Source organism: Homo sapiens, chromosome 15 (assembly GCF_000001405.40).
Source record: "Homo sapiens chromosome 15, GRCh38.p14 Primary Assembly".
Taxonomy (NCBI): domain Eukaryota; kingdom Metazoa; phylum Chordata; class Mammalia; order Primates; family Hominidae; genus Homo; species Homo sapiens.
In genome coordinates this window covers 66,813,682-66,840,981 of record NC_000015.10, presented here as the reverse complement: position 1 = coordinate 66,840,981, position 27,300 = coordinate 66,813,682, and the positions used below count along the sequence as shown (strand labels likewise).

The following is a 27,300-nucleotide window of genomic DNA, read 5'->3' as shown; positions in this document are numbered from 1 at the left end:
CTCTTGCCGTTCTGCCCTCTTGGGATATCCACTGTGGGCTCCCATCTACATTCTGGGCAGAGGAAAGGGATAGAGGGACATGTCCTCTCTCCTTAGATAACATCACTTCTACTTACAACCCACTGGCACAACTTAGTCCCATGTCACACTTAGGTGGTGCAAGGGAAGTTGGGCAATGCAGTCTTTAATAAGGCAGCCCAAGTGCCCAACAGAAACAAACAAACTTTTCACACTGTAGAACAGGGGTTGGTGAACATTTTCTTAAAGGGCCAGACAGTAAATATTTCAGGCTTTGCAAGCCATACATTCTCTGTGGCATTGCCTACCCTACTAGAAAAGAGTGAAAGCAGTCATAGATATAGAAACAAATCAGCCTGTCTGCACTTGCAATAATATTTTATTTATGGACAATTAAATCTAAATATGATATAGTTTCTATGATTCACAAAATATTTTATTTTCAGTCACTTAAAAATGTAAAAAAAGGCCAGGCCCAGTGGTTCAGACCTGTAATTCCGGCACTGTGGGAGGCTGAGGCAGGCAGATTGCTTGAGTCTAGGAGTTTGAGACCAGCCTGGGCAACATAGGAAGACCCTGTCTCTACAAAAAACTAAAATTAAAAAAATAATAATTAAAAAAAAGCCCAGCATGGTGACTTGCTCCTGTAGTCCCAGCTACTCTGGAGGCTGAGGAGGGAGGATTGCTTGAGCCCAGGAGGTCGAGGCTGCAGTGAGCCGAGACCGTGCAACTCCACTCAGCGTGAGTGACAAAGGGAGACTCTGTCTCAAAAAAAAAAAAAAAAAGTAAAAAAGAATACTTTTGTGCTTGCAGGCAGCACAAAAATAGGTGGCAGGCCAGATTTGGCCTACGAGTTATAACTTGCTGGCCCCTGCCATAGAAGAAGGGAAGGATGGAGATTAGCAGACCACCAGCAGCTTGTGCCGCAGTAATCAGGCATAAGACGAGGCTATATGGGCTCCCAGCACCCCAGAAATAAGTCCTGGGCTCTGAGAACTTGAAGAAAGAATGAGGCTGCGTGGAGGATGTGTAGGACTTTGATAACAGAGAAGTTGGAGAAAGGTGATCTGGGCTGAGGGCACAGTGATGAGAAAAGGCTGGGTGCACAGAAGTCAGGCATGGCTGGACCACCCCACAGTTTGAGGGATAGAGAGGGAGGGCCCAGCTGAATGATGATGAGCCTTATCCACATCTGCCAGGCTGCAGGCTTTTTGTTTCCTATGGGCACTGGGGAGGTGGGGAGTCATGTGATCACAGCTGTGCTCCATGAACTTAATTTTGAGTCATTTCATATGGCTCTGTTCCTCCAAGAAGCTGGCTCTGATCTCCTTAAAACCCATCTCTTTCTAGCCTGGGCCCTTTAGTGGCAATCCCCATGGGCCTTGGATCACGTAGCCTCTCCTTACTGTCTGTGTAGGAGGACATGAGTTCTTGGTGGGAAGACAGACAAAGCTGTGTCCCTCACAATAAGCAACATGAAGTCCTAGAGGAGGAATATACCATACAGGCCAGCATGTTAGACATGCTTTCACTTTTTCTCAAAACACACACACACACTATATCTCTATCTGTATCTGTATATGTATCTCTGTCTAGATCCTCATTTGTCTCTGCATCTGCAGCTGTATTTGTATCCAAGGCCACATCCATATATGAATCTATATCTACATCCATAGAGCCACCACTTACCCAGTATCCAAAACATCAGTTTAAGAATAGAAGCTTTAGTGCCGAAAAGGTAAAATAGAGTAGTCCCTCAGTATCCATGGGGGATTGGTTCCAGGACCCCCATGCATACGAAAATCCACAGATGCTCAGGTCCTTATATAAAATGGTATATTATTTGCATGTAACCTACACACATCCTCCCATATACTTTAAATTATCTCTAGATTACTTACAATACCTAATACAATGTAAATGTTATGTATATAGTTGTTATACTGTGTTATTTATGGAACAATGACAAGAAAATAGTTTTTACATGTGTAGTACAGACATAACCATTCTTTTTTTTTTTTTTTTTTTTTTCACATATTTTCAACCCATAGATAGGGAGAACTGATGGTAAAGTGAAGGCTGAAACCAGCCCCTAGTGGCAAAGCATGGAAACAGAAAACTTCACAGCAGAGACCATCCTTTCACTTCCCGTCGACATCCTACTGGAAGTTTCCTTAATAAAAATATTCCCACGTATAATACTTGATTTACCTGAACAACAACAACAAAATACTTTCAGTGTAGTTATGACAAAAAAATTAATTTTCCTAAATATGTTTTCTTATAAAATTGGGGTGTTTCATGTATATCTGTGGGTTTTATAGGTCAGCTAATAGGGGAGCTGCTTGGTCAATAGATGCAAAGATGAACAAGACAGGGTGCTGCCCTTCACGATTCTTCAACACATCCCACTCCCTCAAAGGAGTTTGTACCTAGACAGGCACTCAGGGACTCTGCAAATTGCCCTCGGTCTGTGCAGGCCAGAGGTCCCCAACCTCTGGGTTGTAAACTGATACTGGTCCACAGCCTGTTAGGAACTGGGCTCCACTGCAGGAGGTGAGCAGCGGCCCAGCAAGCATTACCGCCTGAGTGCTGCCTCCTGTCATATCAGCTGCCACATTCGACTCTTTTTTTAGGGGAGGAGATGAAGTCTGTCGACCAGGCTGGAGTGCGGTGGTGCAATCTTGGCTCACTGCAACCTCTGCCTCCTGGGTTCAAGCAATTCTCCTGCCTCAGTCTCCCTAGTAGCTGGGATTACAGGCACATGCCAACACGTCTGGCTAATTTTTGTATTTTTAGTACAGACGAGGTTTCGCCATGTTAGCCATGCTGGTCTGAAACTCCTGATCTCAGGTGATACACCAGCCTCAGCCTCTGAAAGTGCTGGGATTACAGACGTGAGCTACCACGCCCAGACAACACATTAGATTTTCATAGGAACGTGAACCCTCTTGTGAATTGCGTGTGCTAGGGATTTAGGTTTCGTGCTTTTTATGAGAATCTAACTAATACCTGATGATCTGAGGTGGAACAGTTTCATCTCAAACCATACTCCCTCTCCCCACCATGATATGTTGAAGAATTGCCTTCCACAAAACCAGTCCCTGGTGCCAAAAACGATGGGGACCGCTGCTTTAGGGAACCATCAGGAGAGTGATCTGGAAGACAGCATGCCCAGGGCGCTGGTTCTGCAAGTGTGTTCCTAGACTGGCAGCATCAGCACCACCTGGACCTTGTCAGAAATGCAGCTTCTCAGGCCCCACTCAGACCTACAGAATCAGAAACTCCAGGCACAGGGCCTAGCTCCCTGGGTTTTAACAAGCCCTTCAGTTGATGCCAGTGAAAGCCAAAGTTTGAGGACCGCTGACCTAGAGCCCTGGGCACTGGGCTGAGAGTCAGAAACCCTCATTCTCATACTGGACTTGGCACTCCAGGCTCTGTGATGTTGGGCAAATCTGGCCCTTTCCACTGGCCTGAGTCCTTAGGTGTAAACTGGTAAGTTCAGTCCTGACTGAGACTGAGGGTGGGCCATGGTCCCTAAGATCTTTCTCAGCTCAGACAGCCCATGATCTCTCCACCTGACTGTTGGGAGTAGGGCCTTGGCCTTGAAGCAAGGGATGCGCCCTCCTTTAGAGGGAGATTCTCTAATTCTGCAGCATTCTGGTGGCAGGACTGTAGAAATTTGGGTCCTGTCGGACTCCCTTGAGTGTCCCGGTCTAGGCGGAGGTCCTAGCAGATGCCGTGCCTCCTGCCTTTCCCTGGGCTCTCTGTAGTCTGAGAAGGACGGCGGAGTCTTGGTACAGACCTGGATTTGTTTGTGTTTGTGTCTGGTGAGTGCTCCAGGAGGTTGTTTATGTTGCCCACTTTTTGCTTGGGCCCAAGCCTCAAATATCTTTCAGTCCCAGGTCCCAAGTGGAGGCAGAGACTGCAGGGCACCAAATCTGCCCTGGCCCCCCATACAGGGGAAACCTTCTGCCCATCTTGTCCAGGCGGGGACTTACAGCTCTTCCACGTGGGATGTCTGAGAACAGTGAGGCTGTGTCCTGAGGATGAAGGACCTCGGAGCTGACCCTGAACAGCAGGAGCCAGGAGCTCCCTCCCTTGAGCACAAGACCGTTAGGCTCCTTTAGGGGCTGGGTTCAGGCTTAAGGTCTTAGACCTCAAAAAACAGGCCTTAGATGGCAAAGGGACACTCCTTAAGGACACATGCATAGTTCTGAGCCCCAAGGAAACCAGGCAGTAGACCTCAGAATCACCAATATCTGCCTTCTTCTGAGCCCTGTTCCACGGGATTCTGTGTGAGCCAGGCTGGGCAGGGGAGGCAGCCTGGTATGCAGTAAAGATCCTGAGCTCAGAACTCAGGACCCTGGGGTCAGGGCTCATGACTTTGCAGCTAACACTCTGTATGACTTTGAACAAATCCATCTCCCCTCTGGGCTTCAGTTTCCTCAACTGGCCAATGGAATCAGAATATATTCTTGACTATGAAGCTCAAGGAAATCAGACAGGTGAAAATGCCTTGTTAAAACTAAGGTAGGGCCGGGCTCATGCCTATAATCCTAGCACTTCAGGAGGCCGAGGTGGGTGAATCACTTGAGGTCAGGAGTTCGAGACCAGGCTGGCCAATATGGCGAAATCCCATTTCTACTAAAAATACAACAATTAGCCAGGTGTGGTGGCACATACCTATAATCTCAGCTACTTGGGAGGCTGAGGCAGGAGAATTGCTTGAACCCAGGAGGCAGAGATTTCAGAGAGCTGAGATCACACTACTGCACTTCAGCCTGGGCGACAGAGGGAGACTCTGTCTCAAAACAAAATGAAACAAAACAAAACTCAGGTAGGACATCTTGAGTTTTCCATGGGTGCTGAAATTAAAGAGCCTGGCCTTGGGCTTCCACACTTGCTTCACTTTCCATGGCTATCAAATGGGCTGACCTCCTAAGGGTGGCAGGGGAAAGAGTGATGGGAAGGGGGCTAGGCACACTGTAAGTGCTTGATTGATATGTGTTGTACTAGTTATCCATTGCTACATAACAATTGCCCCAAAAGTTAGCAACTTAAAACAACAGGTATTTATGATGTCACAGTTTCCTGGGTCAAGAATCTGGGCATAGGTTCCTAGCTGGGTCCTCTGCCTCATAGTCTCTCTCAGGCTGCAATCAAGCTGCAGTCAGGTCAACAGTCATCTGACGGCTCATGTGGGGATGGATCCTCTTTAAGCCTACTCATGTGGTTGTTGGCAAGATTCTGTTTCTGTGAGTTGTAGGCCTGTGAGTCTCAGTTCCTCTCTGGCCTGGCTGGCCTCACTGGCTGTTGGCTGGAGACTGTTCTCATATCCTTGCCACATGGCCCTCTCCACTGGGCAGCTCATGACAGCTGGCTTCACTCAGAGACAGCAAAAGAGTGCCCAAGAAAAAAGCCATGGTCTTTTTGTAACCTACTATCAGAGGGAATGTGCCATCACTTTTGCTGTATTCTCTTTGTCAGGAGCCACTCACTAGGCCCAGCCCACACTGAAGGAGAAGGCATTCCACAAAGGCATTAACACCAGGAGGTGGGGATCATTGGGGGCCACCTTAGAAAGCCCCTACGACACTCACCAAGCCTTGCTCTGAGCCAAGCTCAAGCTCTAAGATAGAGTGAGCGCTCAATGGAGGGAGATCGTGGGGAGAGGCCAGAGAAATGTGTTGCCTGGTGGGCTTCCCAAGACAGGGCCCCCAGGGCCTGCCCACCCTGATCTTTATCGCCATGGCAGGGCCTGTTTGATGGCAGGCGGGTTTGCAGCCAGCAGGAGCTGCATTCCAGGGCTGGGTACTTAACATTCCAGAGGAGCTCTCGCTAATTAGTACCCTGCCCATCCCAGGCCTGGACTACCCGGCTCCCCTGTGTTCCCATGGCTCGGCCAGAGGACTCCCTCGTGGCTTTGGGTGACACTGAGAGGCCCAGAGATGGACTGGACTTAAGCAGGGTCACACAGCAATAAGTCCACTAGCAAAGTCAGGGCTGGGGCTCAGGTCCTTTTACTTCTAGCTTGTGGGCAGGGGGCAGCTGTGGTCAGAACCTTGGGGCCGGGCCCCCTGGGGGTGAGATGGACTAAAGCAGACCTCAGGCAAATGACTGTTTCTCTGAGCCTCTATTTCCTCACCTGTAAAAGTGGAGGGGGCGTGGTTCTAAGATCACATAGCATGTGACAAAGACTGTCCTTGAGCAAACTTTAGACCAGCTCCTCTGAGCCCTCTTTTTGACTAGGCTTCATCCTTGGATCCTGTCTTCAGCCTGCCTAGCCCAGTTTTAGCAAGAATCCTGTTGCATTGATTTAGAAAGAATCCCCCTACCTTTGATGTCTCCTCTTAGTAACTTCCATCCACTGACAGCATGCTCCCACCCCTCATTCTGCTAGTTGGCTGTAAACTCTCAGCTGTCTGTGCTGTTATTTGGGGTTGAATGAGGTCTCCCCCTGTTGTGATAGTCTTGACACCTACCACAATAGTCCTAAATAAAGTCTTCCTTAAGGGAAAACCAGTGAGGGTCCTGGAGGGGATGTGCTGGCTCACACCTGGAATACCAGCATTTTAGGAGGCCAATGTGGGAAGACCACTTGAGGCCAGGAGTTCAAGACCAGCTGAGGCAACATAGCAACACCCTCATCTCCCTAAGAAAAAAAAATTTTGTAATTAGCCAGGCATGGTGGTGTGTGCCTGTAGTCCCAGCTACTTGGGAGGCTGAGGTAGGAGGATCACTTAAGCCCAGCATTTCAAGGCTGGAGCGAGCTGTGATCTTACCACTGCACTCCAGCTTAGGCAACAGAGCAAGACCCTGTCTCTTGTTTAAAGAAAAAAAAAAGTGAGAGAGAGAGAAAGGCCAGTGGGGCCAGAAGTCTCCGGATGCCCTTCTTGTCTTCTCTGGCTGTCATAGTTGCGCCTACTACTCAGCCTCTGTGGCCTTTGGAGCAAACACTCAGCAGCCCTTGATTCATCTGGCTACCCAACTGGTTTTTTGGAGACTTTTTTTTTTTTTCAGATGGAGTTTCACTCTTGTTGCCCAAGCTGGAGTTCAGTGGTGCTATCTTGGCTCACCGCAACCTCCACCTCCAGGGTTCAAGCGATTCTCCTGTCTCAGCCTCCCCCATAGGGAAGGGATTACAGGCACCTGCCACCACGCCCGGCTAATTTTGCATTTTTAGTAGAAACAGGGTTTCTCCATGTTGGTCAGTCTGGTCTCGAACTAGCGACCTCAGGTGATCCACCCGCCTCAGCTTCCCAAAGTGCTGGGATTACAGACGTGAGCCACCGCACCCGGCTAGAGACATTTTTATTTAAACCTTCACTACTATGCCCCAGGGCTAAGCCAGGTGCTTCTCATTCTGAGCTTGAGTGAGCCTCACAAGCAACAGGAAATGGCAACTCCCAGAGGAGAGACGACTTGCACCAGGCCACACCTCACCGTGACCCAGGTCTATGGGTCTTGCTGGGCCAGGCTCTAGGGCCATGCTCTGTGAGGAACAGAACCTGGTTGCTGTCCTTAAGGAGGATCTAAGGTCACTGGGAGGCCAGCAGAGTCATTTGGTATAGGGGTCACCCCCACAAAGAACCCTAACATAGACTTGTGGAGCAACCTTAAATGAAGTTATTCAGAACTTCACAGAGCTGCATTTAGGATCGGACAAAGGAGAAGACACAGATGAAACCCACACCCATCACAGGACTGCACTGCCTGTCAGGGCCGCAGCATGAATTCAGACATTTTTAAACCCTGTGATCGCCATGTGAATATCACAGTTATTTTCAGTTCTATTTTGGAGGATTAAGAGCATTAATTTGTTCAAGATAAACATTTAAAATCTATACAGAGATCAGGAAACAATATCACTCTAAAAGATTTTATTATTGGGACAGTTGGCCAAATTTGAATATGAACCATCAGGAGTTGGCAAGCTACAGCCCTCAGGACAAATCTGGCCTGAACTGCTGCCTGTTTTCATAAATAAAGTTTTATTGGAACACATCCATGCCTGGTCCGTTTCACCTTATCTATGGCTGCTTTTGCACAGTGGGGCGGAGTTGAGTAGTTGCAATTGAGACCATATGGCCCACAAAACTGAAAATATCCGGCTCTTTATAGAAAATGTTTGCTGACTCCTTGATGAGATAATAGCAATGTATCATTGTGAAATTTCCTGATTCTGGTAACTATACTGTTGTTATGTAAAAAAAAAAAATCCTACTGTTAGGAAATGCCCGCTGAAGCATTTAGGGTTAAAGGGACATGTCATCTTCAACTTACTGTACTCTTGTGCAGAAAGAAATGTGGATGTAGTATGCATGCAAAGATGTATTATGAAGAGAGAGAGGTAGGGAATATGATAAAATGTGGGGTAAGAAACTATTTGAGTGAAGGCTATACAGGAGCTCTCTACGATCGTGGTACATTTTCTATAGGTTTGAAATGATTCTAAAATGAAAAATTTTTAAATACGTATATTGATATTTTGCATATTGTTTTGACATTTCTTCCTTGTTTTAAATATAGGAAATCTAAAAAGAAAAAATAGTTCCCTGGGGCCCTTGTTGACCCCCTGAGCCCTGCCTCTCACCACACACACACACACACACACACACACACAAAATACCTTAACACACACACTCCCTGTACACACCCACACGCTCACACTATACATTAACACACACACACCCTGTACCCACCCACACACTCACACACATACATACCCCATTCACACACACATCCCACCTGGCCTCACACACACACACAGACACGCACACACACACACACACACACACACTCAGGCATGTCAGTGTCCCAGCAGGCAGGTGTATGGCCCTCTGCCGCAGGGCAGAAGAGGGGAGGACCGCAGGCCGAGGGAGCGAGATGGCAGAAGGGAGGCCTCTGACGGGGGCCAGGGGTACTCCAGGGAAGAGGCAGGAATTGTGTCAGGACTTGAAAACTAAACCAGAGCTGGTGGAAATAAAAAGGCAGGGCACTTCGCTGAAGGCACAAGCCCGGCAAAGGTGGGGCAGCAGGTGGCATGAGGCATGGCAGGACCCAGAGGCTGGGACATTGACTAGGTGGGAGATGCCCACGGCGCTGAGGATTCTGGGGGGATGCTGCACCCTTCCGCTGCCAGCGGCTGTGTCGGGGTCCTCCAGGAAGAGCCACACGGGCAATCCAGGCTTCTCCTCCACTCAGGCCTGATGCCTGCTTGCTTCTGCTCACATTCCTCAGCACCCAACTCTTGAGGTAATTTGCTAAGTTCACATACACATGGCACATACTCAAACTCAAAACCCCTCCTTTCTTCCGCATTCCTCCAGATCCCCAGTTCCCCTCTCTCAAGGTAACCTTTGCTAGTGCAAGTATGTATGGTTTTTTTCTTTACACAAATAATAGCTTGCTGCATTTACAGGCATGTACCTTGCTTCTTTCACGTATTATCAGATCTTGGATTACTCCATACCAATCCATGCCATTCTTGACAGCTGCATAGTATTCTATTGGATGAGTGTCCCAACATGTGCTTAACTAGTCCCCAAAATGGCAGCAGATTCATACTGGCAGCTAAAATGTCGACAGTAAACAGGGGTAGAGTGTCTACTATGGCTTAGGCACTTGGGAGATCCCCAAGATACAGAAGGGATTGCAACCTGGTCCGTGGGAATTGGAGCTCCCAGGCTCATGGAGGCAACAGAGTGACTAGTAGATGGCAGAGTGGGCTAACAGCACAACAGTCATGCCAGGAAAGGGTCCTTGGTTTGGGAGAAAGGTAAGGAAAAGGGAAGGATGGCATTCCAGCCCAAGGGAGCCATGTGAGCAAATTGGAGTGGTGGAAAGCCAATGGCAAGTTCAGGTACTATGTGAGGATCCAGGTCGGGGAGGGATGGGGAGGAGAATGTGTGGAGCTGAGTCTAGGGAGGCTTTGAATTCCAAGGAGATGGGTGTGGCCTGATTCCTCCTCTTCACCCAGAGGTCTTCCCTTCCAAGATGAGGAAAGGGGCTCAGCAAAAGGAGTTGGAAGGAAAAGGGGCCCTCTAGGAAGGAGGCGGGGCAGAGGAGGCTCCAGGCAGATGGAGGAGTAACTCGTGGTTACTGAGACCCATCCCATGCTGGGCATTCTATCTAATTTAATTTTTGCTACATTTAGTTTTTCTCTGAACCATTGGAGAGTTGGTTGCAGATATCATGGCTGCAGGCGGATAGAGAGTCACAAACACCAGTGCCAGCTCCCTGCAGCCTCTATCTCTCCGCAGCCACACAACCCCAGGCACTTTGACCTGGTGGTTTCCTCTCATTTGGGACTCTGTCCTGTTACCCAAGGTCACAACTCGATTAACTCTCCTCGGGCTTTCAGCACCTCCTGGGTGTCATGAGAGCAAAAACCAGGCTAAGCTGTTGCCTGGCGAGGTGGGTAAGGCTCTGCCAAGGCAGGGAAGAAATGTTGAATGAGTCAGGTTCCTGTCTTCCTCATTCATTCCCTCCACAGTCAGGCCGTGGCAGGGCACTGGGGATTCAAATAACCCAGTGACTAAAATCCAGGGGAAAGTGCAGAGCTGGAGTCAGGGGAGGGTGCAGGGTGTATGGGTCTGAAGTCTATACCATTGGAAGGCTATTTGTACAGAAAAGGATACCAAATTGTGAATGCAGAATTGGTTACAGGGTCTTGGAAAGGGGTGGGTGCAAATGAGAGACTCTGAGGCTTAAATGTCTTTAGCTTCAGGGTAAATTTACCTCTGGCAGGAGGGACCCCCATAGAGCAGGGGAATTTTCCCCACAGACCACTGGGTGCCAGCTCCTCCCATGACGCCACTGTGTCCTTGGGCCCCACTCACCTTCACTCTACCTGGGCGTTGAGTTGGGACAACATGAAATAATAATAGTGGTGCTGGACCCTGGAGCCTTGTCTGCCTCCAGACTTTAATGAGAATATGGTTAGTATATCTCCCCCCTGTTTGCTGTTGGGTATTAGTAAATACTTCTGACCATGTTTGGGATTCCTTTCTACTGCTTTATCAGGCAGGGTTGCCAGTCTGCACATAAATCTTCTTACTATCTATTGAGAGAATGGCATGGTTTCCCTCCACCATCTGTCAATTTAATGGGCTCTGTTGGCAGAGTTCCTGATATTGACCATCCTCACATTCCTAAAATAAACTCCTATTGGGTTGTGAGGTAATATTCTTTTAATTTAGTGCAGTGGTAGATTTCTTTTGTTAATATTTTTCTTAGTATTCTTGCGTCTGGATTCAAAATGAAACCTGTCCTGAGTTTTCTTTGGGCTGTCCATTTTATGGACTATTAGGCAACTATGAACAAGAATGACATAGATCTCTGTGCGTTCATTTTGTTGCCGGAAAGTGGTCCCAATCCAGCCTCCAAGAGAGGATTCTTGGATTTTGCACAAGAAAGAATTTGAGGCAAATCCATAAAGCGAAAGCAAGTTTATTAGGTAAGTAAAGGAATAAAAGAATGGCTACTCCATAGGCAGAGCAGCGGCTTGGGCTGCTAGGCTAAGAATATTTAATAGTTATTTCTTGATTATATGCTAAACAAGGGGTGGATTATTCATGAGTTTTCCAGGAAAGGGGTGGGTAATTATTGGAACTGAGGGTTCCTCCCCCTTTTAGACCATATAGGGTAACTTCCTGACATTGCCATGGCATTTGTGAACTGTCATGGCGCTGCTGGGTGTCTTTTAGCATGCCAATGCATTATAATTAGTATATAATGAACAGTGAGGATGACCAAAGGTCACTTTCGTCACCATCTTGGTTTGGGTGGGTTTTGGCCGGCTTCTTTTCCACACTCTGTTTTATCAGCAAGGTCTTTGTGACCCGTCCCTTGTGCCAATCTCCTATCTCATCCTGTGACTTAGAATGCCTAACCTCCTGGGAATGCAGCCCAGTAGGTCTCAGCCTTATTTTACCCAGTCCCTATTCAAGATGGAGTCGCTCTGGTTTGAACACCTCTGACAGTTTGGAAGGAGGTCCATAATCTAATTCATGGAAAAAATAATGTATGCACTGTATGTGCATACATATATAATTTTTTTCGAGGGAGGGGGTACAGAGTCTTGCTTTGTTGCCAGGCTGGAGTGCAGTGGCGCAATCTCTGCTCAACGCAAACTCCGACTCCCTGGTTCAAGCAATTCTCCTGCCTCAGCCTCCCGAGTAGCTGGGATTACAGGCATGTGCCACCACACCCAGCAAATTTTTGTATTTTTAGTAGACACAAAGTTTCACCATGTTGGCCAGGATGGTCTCGATCTCTTGACCTTGTGATCTGCCTGCCTCGGCCTCCCAAAGTGCTAGGATTACAGGTGTGAGCCACCGCGCCTGGCCTATAATTTATACTTATGTATAAGTATACATAAATTATATATATATGTCATATAGCATGGTCCCTGAGGACCTAAAAGGAAGAAGGTAGGCACAATAGATATAAATAGAGAGTTTATCTGGAATAAGCTTGAGGTTGCAACCTCAGGAGCATAGATTTAAGTTGCCCAGAATATACACTCCAATTAGCAGCAGTTACAAGTGGATTTTTAAAGGCAAAAAAGGGGGGACAGGTAGTTGCCTGATACAAAGTTGTTTGTCAGGAATTCGTGTTGGTTTACAGAAATAACATTGATTAGTGATTGGTATACATTGTTAACCTGTAGGGTATGGGTGATAGTGTCCTGTGCCACATTGTTACGTTAATTTATAACCACTTGCGGCAATTGCAGCAGTTTCAAGAGTTGAAGACATGGCTCAAGGGGGAACTAGGATGTGATTGCTGTCTCATTTTAATGTCTCTCTGGGCCTGATAAAGGGCTCACATTCCTCACATAAAAGGTCTTTTCTTTTCTCATTCCATTTCTTTTGAAACTATATGTTCATAGAATTCAAATGAGCAAATGTTAAATCTTTTAAAGAACAGGAGTGGGCTGGCCTCTGTCTCTGGAGAAGTCACCTGTCTGTACATGGCTGTGGCTCTGAGCATCTTCCCTGAGCTACTGGGTCCCCTGCTATTTCCTCTGGGGTCCCGTGGCTTCCCATGGCCCAGCCAGTATTGCGTCTTCTCTCCATCTGCCCTTCCAAGGACAATCGTCCGCGCCTGAAGGGGACGAGGGCCAAGCCTCCTTTGGTCTCAGTCTTGTCTTGCATGGCTCTTCAGCAGAACTCAGCCAAGGGTTCCAGAGCCCTGAGAGGTGACCATGGCAAAATGGGTGTCAAGGAGAACAGAGGAAAGAAGGTCACAGCCACCTGGGCCCTGAAATGCTTCCTTGAGTGGGTGGCTTAGGCTCAGGGTCAGGGAGAGGGCCATATCTGTCCCAGGCCCATCTGAGCCCACGACTCACTAGCAGGTCTCATTGCTGTGGCAGGACATGATGTCGGCCTCCTTGGCCAACCGGCCTGGTCTGGGGTCTTGGCCAGACCTTGGCTGGGTTCCCCAAGGGGGCCACCTCCAGCTCAGCACTGAAAACTTAAAGGCCAGCCAGCTTGGCTCCTTCTCGACATGTACAAATTTATTTAGTAGAACACAGTCAAATACTCCAGAGAATCACAGGCTCCACAGGAGGCCCAACAGATCCCTCAGCCTTTCAAATGCAAACCTCTCCACAAGGCCAGGTAAGTGCATAAGAAGAGTGCACCACACGGCGACTAGAAGCAGCCAGCCCAGACTCAAGTTCCTTTCAGCTGTGTGACTCTTCTCAAGCTGTTTAACCTCTCTGGGCCTAAATTTTCTCATCTGTCAAATGGAGACAGTAACAATCCCTACCTTATGAAGTCATCAAAAGAATCTAATGAAATAATGTGAACAAAGCAGCTGGTTCAAAGAGAGGTAGCCATATGAGGCGAGATCTCACCATGCTTTTCTTTATCTCACGTGGGATTGTTTTATTTGTATGCAACAAAAACTCACCTAAACTTGCTATAGCAAGAAAAAGAAAAATGTTAGGGGGAGGGATATGGAAATTACAGAAAGGAGCCAGGGGTAACTCCTGGAATACCTGACCAAAGGCCCAGCTGGGATCCCTCTCCTTCTTTCACCTGGCTTCTCCCTGCTGTCTCTGCCCTCTCCTCTCCCAGCCCCTGGCTCTGCCCTCTCCTCTGGTCAGCAGGAGTAAGCATGGCTGTCAACAGCACTTGGGTTGATGTGGCCTCCAGACATGAGGCAACTGAGGTCCTCTGCTTCCAATTCCGAATTCTCTGCAGAAGGCACTGATTGGCTCAGCCTGAGTCAGGTGCTTGCCACCTGGGGAGGAGGGTCACTTTGAACAAACGTGGCAAATCCTGCTGGAAACTGGTGGCTGATGACAGTGCGGAGCAGTTCTTGCAAAGGGCAATGCTGGGCAGACAAAATAAGAGCAGTGAACACAAGAGCTGAATCTTGAATGAGAAGGAAGAAGGCATCCCAGCCAGATGAGACAGACACAGGCCCTGATCCCTGGTTCCCGTGGTTCCCAGTCAATAGGCAAGAGCTTGCCTTCTGTTTTGTTCTCTCCAGCAAAGGCCTGTGCTCTTGCGCACAGTAGGTTCTCCACCCAATTAGACCCTGAACCCCCACCCCACCCTCCTTCACAGAAGCAGAGCAGACGACAGGTACTTCTCTTCCCTTCCAGGTTGGCTGATTTTATCTGTTTGTAAAAAAAAAAAAAAGAAAAGAAACGAAAAACACATCTTTTCCCCCACCCCATGACACCCCAAAAACATACAGAGCAGACATTTGTGACTGGGAAACGAAGATGCCTCTGTCCTGTAGTTCTGCTCTTTGTTCCGGTGCTTTGAGTGCACTGTATTAAAACACTCTGTTGGAATGGGGGGATACACACTTTCTAGTCTGGCACAGGCTGCCCACCCTGGGAGGTTCCATTCCCTGGGCCACATCATGCATTGATTCCCTGTGTGGTCCCCGTGGGAGCTGCCTGAGTGAGTATTCATGGTGGCACTTGGGCTTGCTAACCATGCAGGTCCCCTCAGCCCGTTTCCAGGCTCATGGCGTGCTGGCCTGGTAGCAGGGGCAGTGTCAGATCTGCCTGCAAGGTGGGCCCCGGCAGGCCCAGCCCTCCTGCTGGCTAGAGTTGGCTCTGGGAGTGCTGGGCCTACTGGGGCCACCTTCCAGAGTAGGGGATATCAAAGGCTGGGAGGTGTAGGAGGGAAAGCACGGGTGTCGAGGATGGCTCCCTGAGAAGCTGAGCCCCAGCTGGGCCTCGTAGGCTAGGCAAGAGCACCTTTGTTGAGAGCCCAGGCCCATGAGGAGCTGAAGAGATGTTGGCCTGTTCCACTGCTCTCTTTCAGAGAAGTCTCTGCAGTAACAGACATGTGTGCAGCACCTGAGCTCTTACAAAGGCCTTTCCCATTGAGATCTTGAAACCTCACTATGTCCTGAAGAAGCAGATTGCCACTTTACAGATGGGAAAACTGGAGCTTCAAGTCACCCAGCATGTTGGAAGCAGAGCTGGAGTTCTGTGCCAAGGCCTTGCACCAGGTGCCTCTCCTACTCTTCTGCCTCCAAGCCCAGAGTGGGGTCTGAGAGAGGGGGCTGTGCTTTCCATTACCCACTCTAAGATCCCCTGAGGCCTGAGCATTAACCTCATTTTACTGATGAGGAAACTGAAGAACAGAGAGCTTAAGTAACTGGCCCAAGGTCACACAGCTAGAAATGGGCAGAGCTGGGGCTGAAATCCCAGTAGTGCGAGCCCAGAGTCCAAGCTTGTCATTCTCGTCATAGGAACTCCGTTAACAAGTCATAGGAGTTCCACCAAATGGGATGTGGAGGAAGCACACAGCTACCCAGGGCTTTGCTGGAAAGAACAAAATAGAAGGCAAGCTCTTGCAAATTGACTGGGAACCATGGGAACCAGGGATCAGGGCCTATGTCTGTCTCATCTGGCTGGGATGCCTTCTTCCTTCTTGTTCAAGATTCAGCTCTTGTGTTCATTGCGCTATGATGCGTTCCCTGACCTCTGGGTTCAGAATTAATTGTTCCTCCCCTGCTCCATGCAGGTGACCGGCAGAGCCCCTATCATCTGCAATCTGTAGTTAAATTGGTTACATGCATGTCTGTACCTGTCCTCAATCACCATAATAATGCTGCGTAACAACCCAAAATTGCAGATTTGAACATTTATTTAGCACAGAGTTTGTGGGGTTTGGCTGATCTGGGTTGGGGTCTCTCACATGTAGGTCAGCTTGTTGATCTGTGATGGCTCAGCTGGGATGACAGAGGGGACTTGGCTTGAGGCCGCATCTGGTCCTTCAGCAAGCTAGCCCAGCATGGTCTCATGACAATGGCAGAAGAGAAGAGGCAAAAGGGGAAATGTGCGGGTGCTTTGTCAGGCCTCTGCTGTGCCAAGTCAGCTACCATCCTATCAGTCCAAGCAAAGTGCAGAGGTGAGCCCAGAGCCCAGGTTTGGCAGAACTTTTTACCCAGGGCAGGAGGGTATTGCAGAGTTACTTGGCAAAGGACGTGGTTACAGGCAGTGGGGAAGAATTGCAGGGCCCTGCATGCAACTGATCTGCCACAATGTCCATCTTCTCCACTAGACAAGGCAGTTGTTCCTGAAGGGCTGACTGATCTTCAGTGGACTAAAACTTCTGCTCAGGTTGGTTGGATTTGGGTGTGGGGATAAAAGGCAGGGAACTCGCCATGTCAATCTCTGTGACCTTAAGCAAAAACATCTGACTTTTGCTCCAAGTCTTGGTTTCCTCATTTGTAAAAAAAAAGAAAGATGGAAGCCTGCCCTCCAATGTCACAGGATGACAGGGAATGACGGAGATCTGGGATCAGCCCTGGCCCTGGGAAGTGTGTTTTTGCATCAAGTTAGCGATTCATCATGGTTCCAGGCTCCCACCCCAAATCAGCCTTCCATTCGCTCAGGATGTGGCAGATACCCCATGGCCCTCAAGGCCCTGAATGCCCCATTCCTCCATTCTCCTTCTCTCTCTTCATTCATCCCCTCTTGCTTGCCTTTCTTTCCTGCCCATAGGACACAGGCCTAAGCTGTTCCTAGAAGTCCTCCTTCCTATTCTTTCTCAAGCCAACTCGGCTCACCTGTCCCATCTCAGCAGAAGGCCGGTCCTGGAGCAGCCGCTCTTGGTCTCCCACTTCCTGGGGTAGTGCAGCTTCTGGGCCAGAGCCGGGCCACACCACGGCTCCACTCTCCTAGTCGTGGATCTTGAACAAGACTTTCCACCTATTGAGACTCAGTTTTCTTACCTGGAAAATGGCGAGAGCAGCAGCACCCACCCTGCAGGAACATGGTGAGGATCCAGTTATCAAATATCGAGTGTTTCGGATGCTGCAGCCTCACAGTAAGCCCTGGCCTTTAGGAAGAGTCAGCTCTCATTATCCACTCTTGTAACATCTCATTCTTTTCCTTCCACTCACTTGCTAAATTTTGTAATTTTGGTCAGGCATGGTGGCTCATGCCTGGAATCCCAACACTTTGGGAAGCTGAGGTGGGAGGACTGCTTGAGGCCAGGAGTTCAAGACCAGCCAGGGCAACATAGTGAGACCCCTGTCTCTACAAAAATAAAAATAAAAAACTTAGCTAGGTGTGGTGGTGCATGCATGACTGTAGTCCTCCTAGCTACCTGGGAGGCTGCCCAAGTAGGAGCCTCCCAAGTTGGGCCGGAGAATTGCTTGAGCCCAGGATTTCAAGGTTATAGTGAGCTATGATCGCACCACTGCATTCCAGCCTGGAAGACAGAACAAGACCCCACCTTTTAAAAAAATTGTAATTTTGTATTTATTTGTATTGATGTGTGTCGCCATTTGTTTAAGGCCTTTCTCCCCCGTGTGGCCTGTAAGCCCTAGGAGGGCAAGACTCACCCTCATCTGCAGCTGTATCCCCGGTGCTGGGAACAGAGAAGGGGCTTGAAAAGTGTTTGTGGAATGAGTGATGGCATGAATGAATGGTGGATGAGAGGAAGGATGGACTGTGGCCAGGGAGGGCACAGACAGAGACCCAGTCAGGGGTCTGGCAGGAGTAGAAAAGCCTTCATTATCTTTGGCCAGCATGGCCTGACTATTACAAGGTTCATCACTAAGTCTAATCTCTTTCTATCCACAAATCTTAAATTTTACAGGAACCTGCCCCACCCACTCCCAGACCCTGTACAGGGGATGGACCCTTCTCCTAGGAGTTGATCACCCTGGCTGCAACCCCAGTCTTTGGTGCCCTAAAGCCTGAGGTCTCTCCCTACCGCGTGGGGAGGATCACACAATCGGGCTTACTGTCCACTCTCCCTAACCCTCACAACAACCTGCCAGGGGGCTAAAACGGCTACTGCTTCCATTTCATACAGGAGGAAACTGAGGTTCCTAAGTTACCAAACAAGTCTGTCCCACACTTCACAGAAATATCCAAGAAACTAGCCCAGAGCACCCCAGGTGAATGGATGTTGGGCAGTACCAAGCTTGGGGATCCATTGCCTGCCTGAGCCTTCACCCCTGAGAGTGTTTGGGAGAAAGAATCTAAGGCTGGAAGCGTCAGCAGAGATGGGTTCAGCCCTGATTCCTGCCCTTAAGGGTATACGTGATGGAGACTCATTTTCTGCAGCTTTCAAAGTCCTCCACCCCCACCATCACTCAGGCCTATACGCTCACCGAGCAGGCTGACTGCCTCAGCCTGGACCACAGCCACCCCTGGGGATGTCTTGGTTATTTTTGCCAACCACAAGTGCTGCTGGGAACTTATGAGGGTCTTGGATCCCTAGGAATGGGAATGAGTGTTTCATCCCTGTTATTCGGGAGTGCGCTGACTTGTCGTTACTGAGGCTCGGCTAGGCTCCTTCCTGCACACCTTAGAGCACTGTCAGGTGAGGCTCAGTATTTCCATTAGGCAAATGGGAAATCTGAGGCTGGAGATATTGAATTATTGGCCCAAAGTTACCCAACTAGGCAGTGATGGAAGTTGGGGTGTCTTAACTGTCAGTGGCTTTGGAACCATCTTCCACTTATTTGGGCAAATGTAGTTGCTTGGGTTGCCATAGGGGAGGGGAGGGAGTCATTCCCCTTTAATGGAATTTTTCTTCCTCAAGGACTTGTCTGGCAAATGTAAAGCTTTCAAAATATGAGATGGCATTGGGGGTGAAGTGAAATGGTTCCTTGGTGGATGTCCAGCCTTTATACCAGGCTCAAGTCTCCCCTGTAAAAGCCCCTGGCCTTTGCTCCTATTCTCTGGTCATAGAGAGCCCACCCCTTCAGGGGTCAGGCCCTCCGTTCTGGCAGAGCACGTAGGACCTGCCCTCCTTGAGGTTCCCAGACACTGGCATACTCAGAGATGAAAACATGTTCTCCATAGACCCAGTGGCCTCGAACTTGTCTCTCATTTTCTGAGGCCAGCCCATTCCTTTCCTCCCAGGGAGATCATGTGTGCTCACATAATGGAGCTGTGGTTTCCACTCCAGCCTCTGAAGCCAAACTCCGAGGAGTTTCAAATATCCCCAAGGCCTCCGAGGAGGAAGGCCCCTGAGCATGTCTGGGGAAAGGGCTGCATCTGGTCTGCGTTATCCAGTAGCTGCTGCTGCCTTGAACCCTGTCAGGGAATGGAGGCCCAGATCAAGTGGGGACCTGGAGGGAGGACCTGGAAGGAGAGGTCTCAGCTCCCTGCTAGCCTTCCTCCAGCTGTCCCAGCCCTTTCCATGGGACCACAAAGCTGAGGAGGCCCTTTGTGCATATTTCGACCAGATGCCCCATTTCCCAGGGTGGAAGCTGAAGTCTGAGGTGGCAGAAGCAGCTTTGTGGCAGGACCATGAGGCACTCAGGGCTTCTGATGCTAATCAAGAGTTCTTTCCACTGCCCCATGCCAGATGCTTAAAACATGGCAAGTGCAGGGCAGGGCCTTCTCTCTGGAGGGGGACACTGCCCTGCAGCCTCCTCACCAGTCACGCTGCCTCAAGATGGCACAGGCAGGCGGCTGCTGGCAACCAGCCTGTGCGGAAGCAGAAATTGGCATTAGAGGTTTACATGACTTCAAGATGAAGTGGGGAAAAAAACACCCCCATGCTGCAGGAAGAAGAAATGATTCACAGAAGACATGTGCTTCCCAAGCTAGGAACAGAAAGAGTTTCTTAAAAACTCATGCTTTTTGACCTGCAGAAGCTCCTCCTTACCCCAAGCCCATCTTCACAGATGGGGCTCAACCCACACTTCCTGAGCTCCTGCCCCAAGCCTGGTCTTCCCTCCCGCCAGTCCCATGGGTCATCCTGGTGGGTTTTCACAACAGCTCCATTTCACAGATGAGAGAACTGAGGCCGCCTCTCTCTGAGCAGGGACCCTGTGCTGGGCTGGGGAGCCAGCATCACTGGCCTGGGCTGTGAGGATCTAGCCACTTATTTCAGTTTCTTCCCTGCACTTCTGAGCCTGAGCCAAGGCATGCAAAAGTCCCCTCCTGGGGTTTTCTGGCCTTGCTTCCTGGTGCCCCCCAGACCTTTGTCCTGGGGCTCCACCCAGGGCCCAGTGGGGAGAGGAGCAGACAGCAGAATGGTTATGACCTGATTTTGTTTGTGTGCTTGCTCTCCAGTCCTGCGAAGCCTTCAGGACAACATTTTATATAAACAAGAAAGAAAGAGGGTATATTTTTGGAGATGAGTTTTCTACCTCCCTATCCACACCCAACAACCTAATGATTTAACCTTTTTAAGTACAAAAACTTTAAGCAGTGCTGGAAAAATTTAATCAGTGCTCATTCATTATCCTCAATGTCTGGCAAAGAAATAGAGAGAAAGAAAGGAAGAAAGAAAAAAGAAAGAGAGAGAGGAAGAAAAAGGAAGAAAGGAAATAAAAACCAAATGAAAACCTCCCAAAACTCATGGGAGCACAGAATACAGAATAAGAACATCAGGCAATGCTGATATTGCCCTGTTCAGATTGCGTCTTGGGAGTGCAGAATTATTTGGGCCCCCTGCTCTACTATAGGATCCTTTAAAAATGTCACATCCTGGCCAGGCGCGGTGGCTCATGCCTGTAATCCCAGCACTTTGGGAGGCCAAGGCGGGCGGATCATGAGGTCAGGAGATCGAGACCATCCTGGCTAATACGGTGAAACCCCGTCTCTACTAAAAATACAAAAAATTAGCTGGACATGGTGGCGGGCGCCTGTGGTCCCAGCTACTCTGGAGGCTGAGGCAGGAGAATGGCGTGAACCCAGGAGGCGGAGCTTGCAGTGAACCAAGATCGTGCCACTGCACTCCAGCCCGGGGACAGAGCGAGACTCCGTCTCTTAAGGAAAAAAAAAATGACATCCTCAGGGCACATGGCTCAGCCCGACATTAATTCTCTAAACCTTTGGCTATATGATTTTTTATTTTTCCCCATTATACTTCTGAAACAAAATTGGAAATACTGAGAACATTGGAAATGTAAATTGCCAATATTCCTACCATTATTGCAATCAAACACACATACACACACATATACATTTAGTATATTTCTTTTTTCACTTAGCGACAGACCAACAGACTTCTGTTTAAACCCCAACTTCAGGCAAGTTGCTTTGTGCCTCTGTGCCTGTTTCCTCATCTATAAAATGGGGATAACAATCATGCCATAAAGAGCATGTGAGATAATGTGTGGGAAGTGCCTGGCCCGTAGTGAGGAAGTGGTTCATTAATGATTGCAGTTATTAATGCTGTCATCCTAGACGCTGCCTCTCTAGTACCACTTGTGAGCCCCAGGGGACTAAGATGACCTCTACACTCATTCATTCCATAGCCACTCAGAGGGTGTGTGCTCTGGGCCAAGCCCTGCACTGGGTGGCAAGGGCACAGAGATGAGCATGACCAGGCCTTGCCCTCAGTGCAGGAAATAAGGCAGTTACATAAACAAATAAGTGACAATCTGACAATCTTGGGTGACAAGAGTGATGGTGGTCACATAGGTGGGTATTGTGGGACTCCTTAGTTAGGAATCCACGCAGACTCTGCAGAGAAGGTGATGGAGCAACCAGCTCAGAAAAGAGGAGGAGGAGGAGATGTGTAAAACAACTACATGGAAGGATACTTTGAATAGATGGAAGAGCAAATGGCAATGCCCAGAGACCCAGAGGCCCTTCCTGGGAAGAGCAAGTCCTCGACTCTGGCTACAGCAAACGATGTTGAGAAGAAACAGGGCTGCAGGGTTTAGGCTTGAATGATATGTGGCTTTGGGGTTCATCTTCACACCAACAAGAATGCTTTCAGCTGCAAGGAACAGAAAACTCTGATACAACTGGCATAGCAAGTAAGTGATACAAGATCTCATATGTCAAGATGAGAGGAGGCATCCAGAATTGGTTAATTCAGCAGGTTAATTCAAAATTCAACCACATCTTCAAGGACTCAGTTAATTCCCTGCCTCCACCCCACCATCTTCAGTGTGTCAGACTATGCTCAGACTTGTCCCCTCATGGACCTAAGGTGGCTGTCACAGCTCTGACATCACATGCAGACACATGCAATGTCCAGTGATGGAGGAAGGGCTATAGCCTGTTCCTGGGGGCTTTCCCTTCCTCCTCCAGCTCTCTTTTACAATTAAAAAAACTATTTCCAGGCTGGGCGTGGTGGCACACACCTGTAATCCCAGCACTTTGGGAGGCCGAGGCGGGCGGATCATGAGGTCAGGAGATCGAGACCATCCTGGCTAACACAGTGAAACCCCATCTCTACTAAAAACACAAAAAATGAACTGGGCATGGTGGCAGGTGCCTGTAGTCCCAGCTACTCAGGAGGCTGAGGCAGGAGAATGGCATGAACCTGGGAGGTGGAGCTGGCAGTGAGCCAAGATTGCACCACTGCACTCTAGCATGGGTGACAGAGCCAGGCTCTGTCTCAAAAAAAAAACTACTTCCAGCCAGGCATAGTGGCACACACCTGTAATCCCAGCATTTTGGGAGGCCCAGGTAGGCGGATCACCTGAGCTCAGGAGTTCAAGACCAGCCTGGGCAACATGGCAAAACCCCATCTCTACTAAAAATACAAAAATTAACCAGGTGTTGTGGCATGCACTTATAGTCCCAGCTACTCAGGAGGCTCAGGAGGCTCACTCAAGCCTAGGAGGTAGGGGCTGGAATGAGTCAAGATAGGCCACTGCACTCCAGCCTGGGTGACAGAGCGAGACCCTACCTCAAAAACAAACAAACAAACCAACCTACTTCCATAATTCTCCCAGCTTCTTTTTTTTTTTTTTTTTGAGATGGAGTCTCGCTCTGTCGCCCAGGCTGGAGTGCATTGGCGCGATCTCTGCTCACTGCAAGCTCCGCCTCCTGGGTTCACGCTATTCTCCTGCCTCAGCCTCTCCGAGTAGCTGGGACTTCAGGCAGCCACCACCACGCCCGGCTAATTTTTTTGTATTTTCAGTAGAGACGAGGTTTCACCGTGGTCTCGATCTCCTGACCTCGTGATCCGCTCGCCTTGGCCTCCCAATTCCCTCCACTTCTAACAGGCCAGGAAAACCTGTACTTGAACCAATCTCTGGCAAGAAGAGTGAACTGACATGATTGATTGAAACCAACAAAGCATCTACCCTGGAGCTGGCCCCTCCTAAAGCTCCAGTTGTGGGATAAGGGGGATAAAGGAACAATACTACTGCTCTGCCAGTAAGGCAGAAATTTGGGAGTGCATGAGGAAGGGGCAGTGAGCAGTGTCTGCTAATATCCTGAAAGCAATGGGGAGTCATTACTTAACTTCTCTGTGCCTCCATTTCCCCATCTACAAAATGGGAATAAATAGTACCCACCTCAGAGGGTTATGTTGTGGATAAAATAACTTTTGTAAAGCCCCGAGAATAGTGCTTAGCACATATTAATCCATTATTAAATATGTTATCATCATTATCACCATCATTACACTACCCTTCTCCCTTATCAAAACTCTCATTCTCTAAGTTCATTAAGTCCGAAGATGAAAACAAATGTAGCAATGTGACAATTAGGAGGTCTTTTCCCCTCCCTCTGCCTGTCAGTTTCCTCATCTCTAAAGTGAGATAGTTGGGCCAGGTGACCTCTCCATCCTGCCCTTTCCAGTCCTGATTCTCTCTAGGGTCCATGATGTGCACCAAACTGCTTGCCAGTCCTGGAATACACCATGCTTTAGCCATCCTCCAAGGCTTGCTCAGGCCATCTGAGCAAGTTGCTCAGTTGTCACCTTGGAATAAGCCTCATCTTTTGGGGCTTATCTCAAACATCCCATCTCAGAGTCTCTTCCCAGCCTTACCCCTCAGCTAAGCCTGCTTCACATTGCACTCCTCCTGCAGGGAGTCAGTTGTTTCTGCCCTAGGAGGTTGGTAAGTGTAAGTCTCATAGACAGTGAGCCCTGGGGGGGACCAGTGTTTGAACTTCTGAGTCTCCAGTGACCAGCAGGAAGTGATATACTGCAAGAGCTCAGTATTGTGTTCATTTTTTCTTACTAATAATGTGAGTAGGTAATATTTATTGAGGCCTTACCTAGCCAGGGAGTATTTGAAGCACTTTCCATAGAATGTCTTATTTCATCTTTGTAACACCCTACCCACAAAATAGTTACGATTATTGTCCCTACTTTACAGATGAGAGACCTAGACTTGAGGCTCAGAGAGGTTACGTGACTGAACCAAGGTCACACAGCAGGTGAGTGATAGAGTCAGGATTATATCCCATGTCTGTCAGGCTCCAGAGGCCCTGTTCCCTAAACAATGACTTGATCTCTGTCACATACTAAAGCCTCCAGATGTTGCCTGGATGCCAAGTACACGTAGCCAGTGGTCACTGTCTAAGGCCATGGAACTCTGAAGAGCTGCCTTGCTGTGTTTTTTTTTAATTAATAGGTTTTATTCTTTAGTAACAATTTTAGAGAATAATTAAGCAGAGAATACAAAGTTCCAATATTAAAATATTGCATGCGTGTGGTACATTTTTTGCAACTAATGAACCAATATTGATACATATTAACTGAAGTCCATAGTTTACATTAGGGTTCCCTTTGTGTGTGGTTCAGTTCTATGGAATATTGTTAGAAACAGAATAGTTTCACTGCCCCCAAAATCCTTTTGCTTCACCTATTCATCCCTACCCCTAAACCTCTGGACATCATTAAATTTTTTAGCCTATAGTTTTGTCTTTTCTGGAACAATTGGAAACATACAGTATGTAGCCTTTTCAGACTGGCTTCTTTCACTTAGTAACAGGCATGTGAACGGCTTCTTGGCCTCTGGCTGAGATGAAGTGCAATAACATGCATTTGTGCTTCCCCCATGTCTGTTCATGGCTTAATACTTCATTTCTGTTTACCGCTGAATAACGTTCCATTGCAGAGGTGTACCACAGTTTATCCACTCCCTTATTGAAGGACATCTTGATTGCTTCCACTTTTTGGTAATTATGGACAAAGCTGCTCTATAAACACTCATGTGTGAAGGTTTTTATGTGGACATACGTTTTCAACTCAACCAGATAAGTACCCAGGAGTGTGATTGCTGGATTGTGTAGTAAGAGCATGTTTAGCTTTGTGAGACACTGCCAAATTGACTTCCAGAGTGGCTGAATCATTTTGCATTACCACCAGCAATGAAGAGAGTTCCTGTTGCTCCACATCCTGGCTAGCATGTGGTATTTTCAGTTTGGATTTTGGCCATTCTAATAAATCTGCAGTGGTATCTCATTGTTATTTCAATTAGCAATTCCTTACTGATAACTTAGGTTGATCATCTTTTTATATGTATGTTTGTCATCTGTATATCTTCTTTGGCGAGGTGCCTATTCAGATCTTCTGCCATTTAAAAATTGGACTGTCTGCTTATTGTTACATTTTAAGAGTTCTTCATATATATATTTTGAGACAGGGTCTCACTCTGTCACCCGGGCTGGAGTGCAGTGGCAGTGATCACAGCTCAATGCAGCCTCCACCTCCTGGGCTCAAGCAATCCTCCTGCCTTAGCCTTCTAGAGTAGCTGAGACTACAGGCATGCACCACCATGCCCAGCTAATTTTTGTATTTTTTTGTAGAGACGGGGTTTCACCATGCTGCCGAGGTTAGCTTCATATATTTTGAATACAAGTCTTTTATCAGCTATGTGTCTTGCAAATATTTTCTCCCAGTCTGTGGCTTGTCTTTTCATTCTCTTAACAGTGTCTTTTGCATAACAAAAGTTTTTAATTTTAATGAAGTCCGATTTAAATATTTTTTCTTTCATGGTTCATGGTTTTGGCATTTTTTCCTGAAAACTCATTGCCAACCCAGAGTTACCTAGATTTTCTCTTATCTTACGGAAATTTTATAGTTTTATGTTTTACGTTTAGTTCTATGATCTATTTTGAGTTAACTTTTATGAAAGGTTTAAAGGTCTGTGTCTAAACTCTTTTTGTTTGTTTGTTTGTTTGTTTGTTTGTTTTGCATATGGATGCCCAGTTGTTCTAGCACCATTTGTTGAAAAGACTATCTTTTCTCCATTGAATTACCTTTGGTCCCTTGTCAAAGATCAGTTGACTATATTTACATGGCTCTATTTCTGGGCCCTCTATTCTGTTCCATTGACCTGTTTGTCTATTCTTTCGTGAATATCACACTGTCTTCATTACTATAGGTTTATAGTAAGCTTTGAAGCCAAGTAGTGTCAGTCATCTGACTTCTTTTTCAGTAATTATGTTGACTGTTCTGTTAATATCAAAAAATAATTCACTGAGATTTTAATTGGGGTTGCATTGAATCTATAGAACAAGTTGGGAAGAGTCATCTTAATGATAGTGAATTTTCCTATCCATGAGCATGGGATAACTCTCCACTTTCTTTCTTTTTTTTTTTTTTAAATGGAAGCTTCTGACTTATTTCAGACAAAGTATTAGACTTGCCATTAAGAATCACCTCAAGGGGCATTCCAAGATGGCCAAATAAGAACAGCTCTGGTCTGCAGCTCCCAGCGTGATTGACACAGAAGACGGGTGATTTCTGCATTTCTAACTGAGGTATCTGGTTCATCTCATTGGGACTGGTCGGAAAGTGGGTGCAGCCCACAGAGGGCAAGCTGAAGCAGGGCGGGGCATTGCCTCACCCGGGAAGCGCAAGGGGTTGGGGGATTTCCCTTTCCTACCCAAGGGAAGCCATGACAGACTGTACTGGGAAAACTGGGACACTGCCACCTAAACACGGCACTTTTCTAACACTCTTAGCAAACGGCACACCAGGAGATTATATGCTGCGCCTGGCTCAGTGGGTCCCATGCCCACAGAGCTTTGCTTACTGCTAGTCCAAGATCGAACTGCGAGGCAGCAACCCTGGCTGGGGGAGGGGCGTCCACCATTGCTGAGGCTTGAGTAGGTAAACAAAG

General features: G+C 48.0%; 4 annotated features.

Annotated features, from left to right (window-relative positions):
• Positions 4,951-5,692: an enhancer, noted in NCBI's record as "OCT4-NANOG-H3K27ac-H3K4me1 hESC enhancer chr15:67127628-67128369 (GRCh37/hg19 assembly coordinates)". NCBI's record gives its function as "activates a minimal SCP1, AML or CMV promoter by ChIP-STARR-seq in primed H9 embryonic stem cells {active_cell/tissue: H9 hESC(primed)}" and the evidence as "EXISTENCE:reporter gene assay evidence [ECO:0000049][PMID:30033119]".
• Positions 5,350-5,399: a silencer, noted in NCBI's record as "silent region_6569". NCBI's record gives its function as "represses an Ori minimal core promoter by ATAC-STARR-seq in GM12878 lymphoblastoid cells {active_cell/tissue: GM12878}" and the evidence as "EXISTENCE:reporter gene assay evidence [ECO:0000049][PMID:35858748]".
• Positions 5,693-6,435: an enhancer, noted in NCBI's record as "OCT4-NANOG-H3K27ac-H3K4me1 hESC enhancer chr15:67126885-67127627 (GRCh37/hg19 assembly coordinates)". NCBI's record gives its function as "activates a minimal SCP1, AML or CMV promoter by ChIP-STARR-seq in naive and primed H9 embryonic stem cells {active_cell/tissue: H9 hESC(naive and primed)}" and the evidence as "EXISTENCE:reporter gene assay evidence [ECO:0000049][PMID:30033119]".
• Positions 12,481-13,257: an enhancer, noted in NCBI's record as "NANOG-H3K27ac-H3K4me1 hESC enhancer chr15:67120063-67120839 (GRCh37/hg19 assembly coordinates)". NCBI's record gives its function as "activates a minimal SCP1, AML or CMV promoter by ChIP-STARR-seq in naive H9 embryonic stem cells {active_cell/tissue: H9 hESC(naive)}" and the evidence as "EXISTENCE:reporter gene assay evidence [ECO:0000049][PMID:30033119]".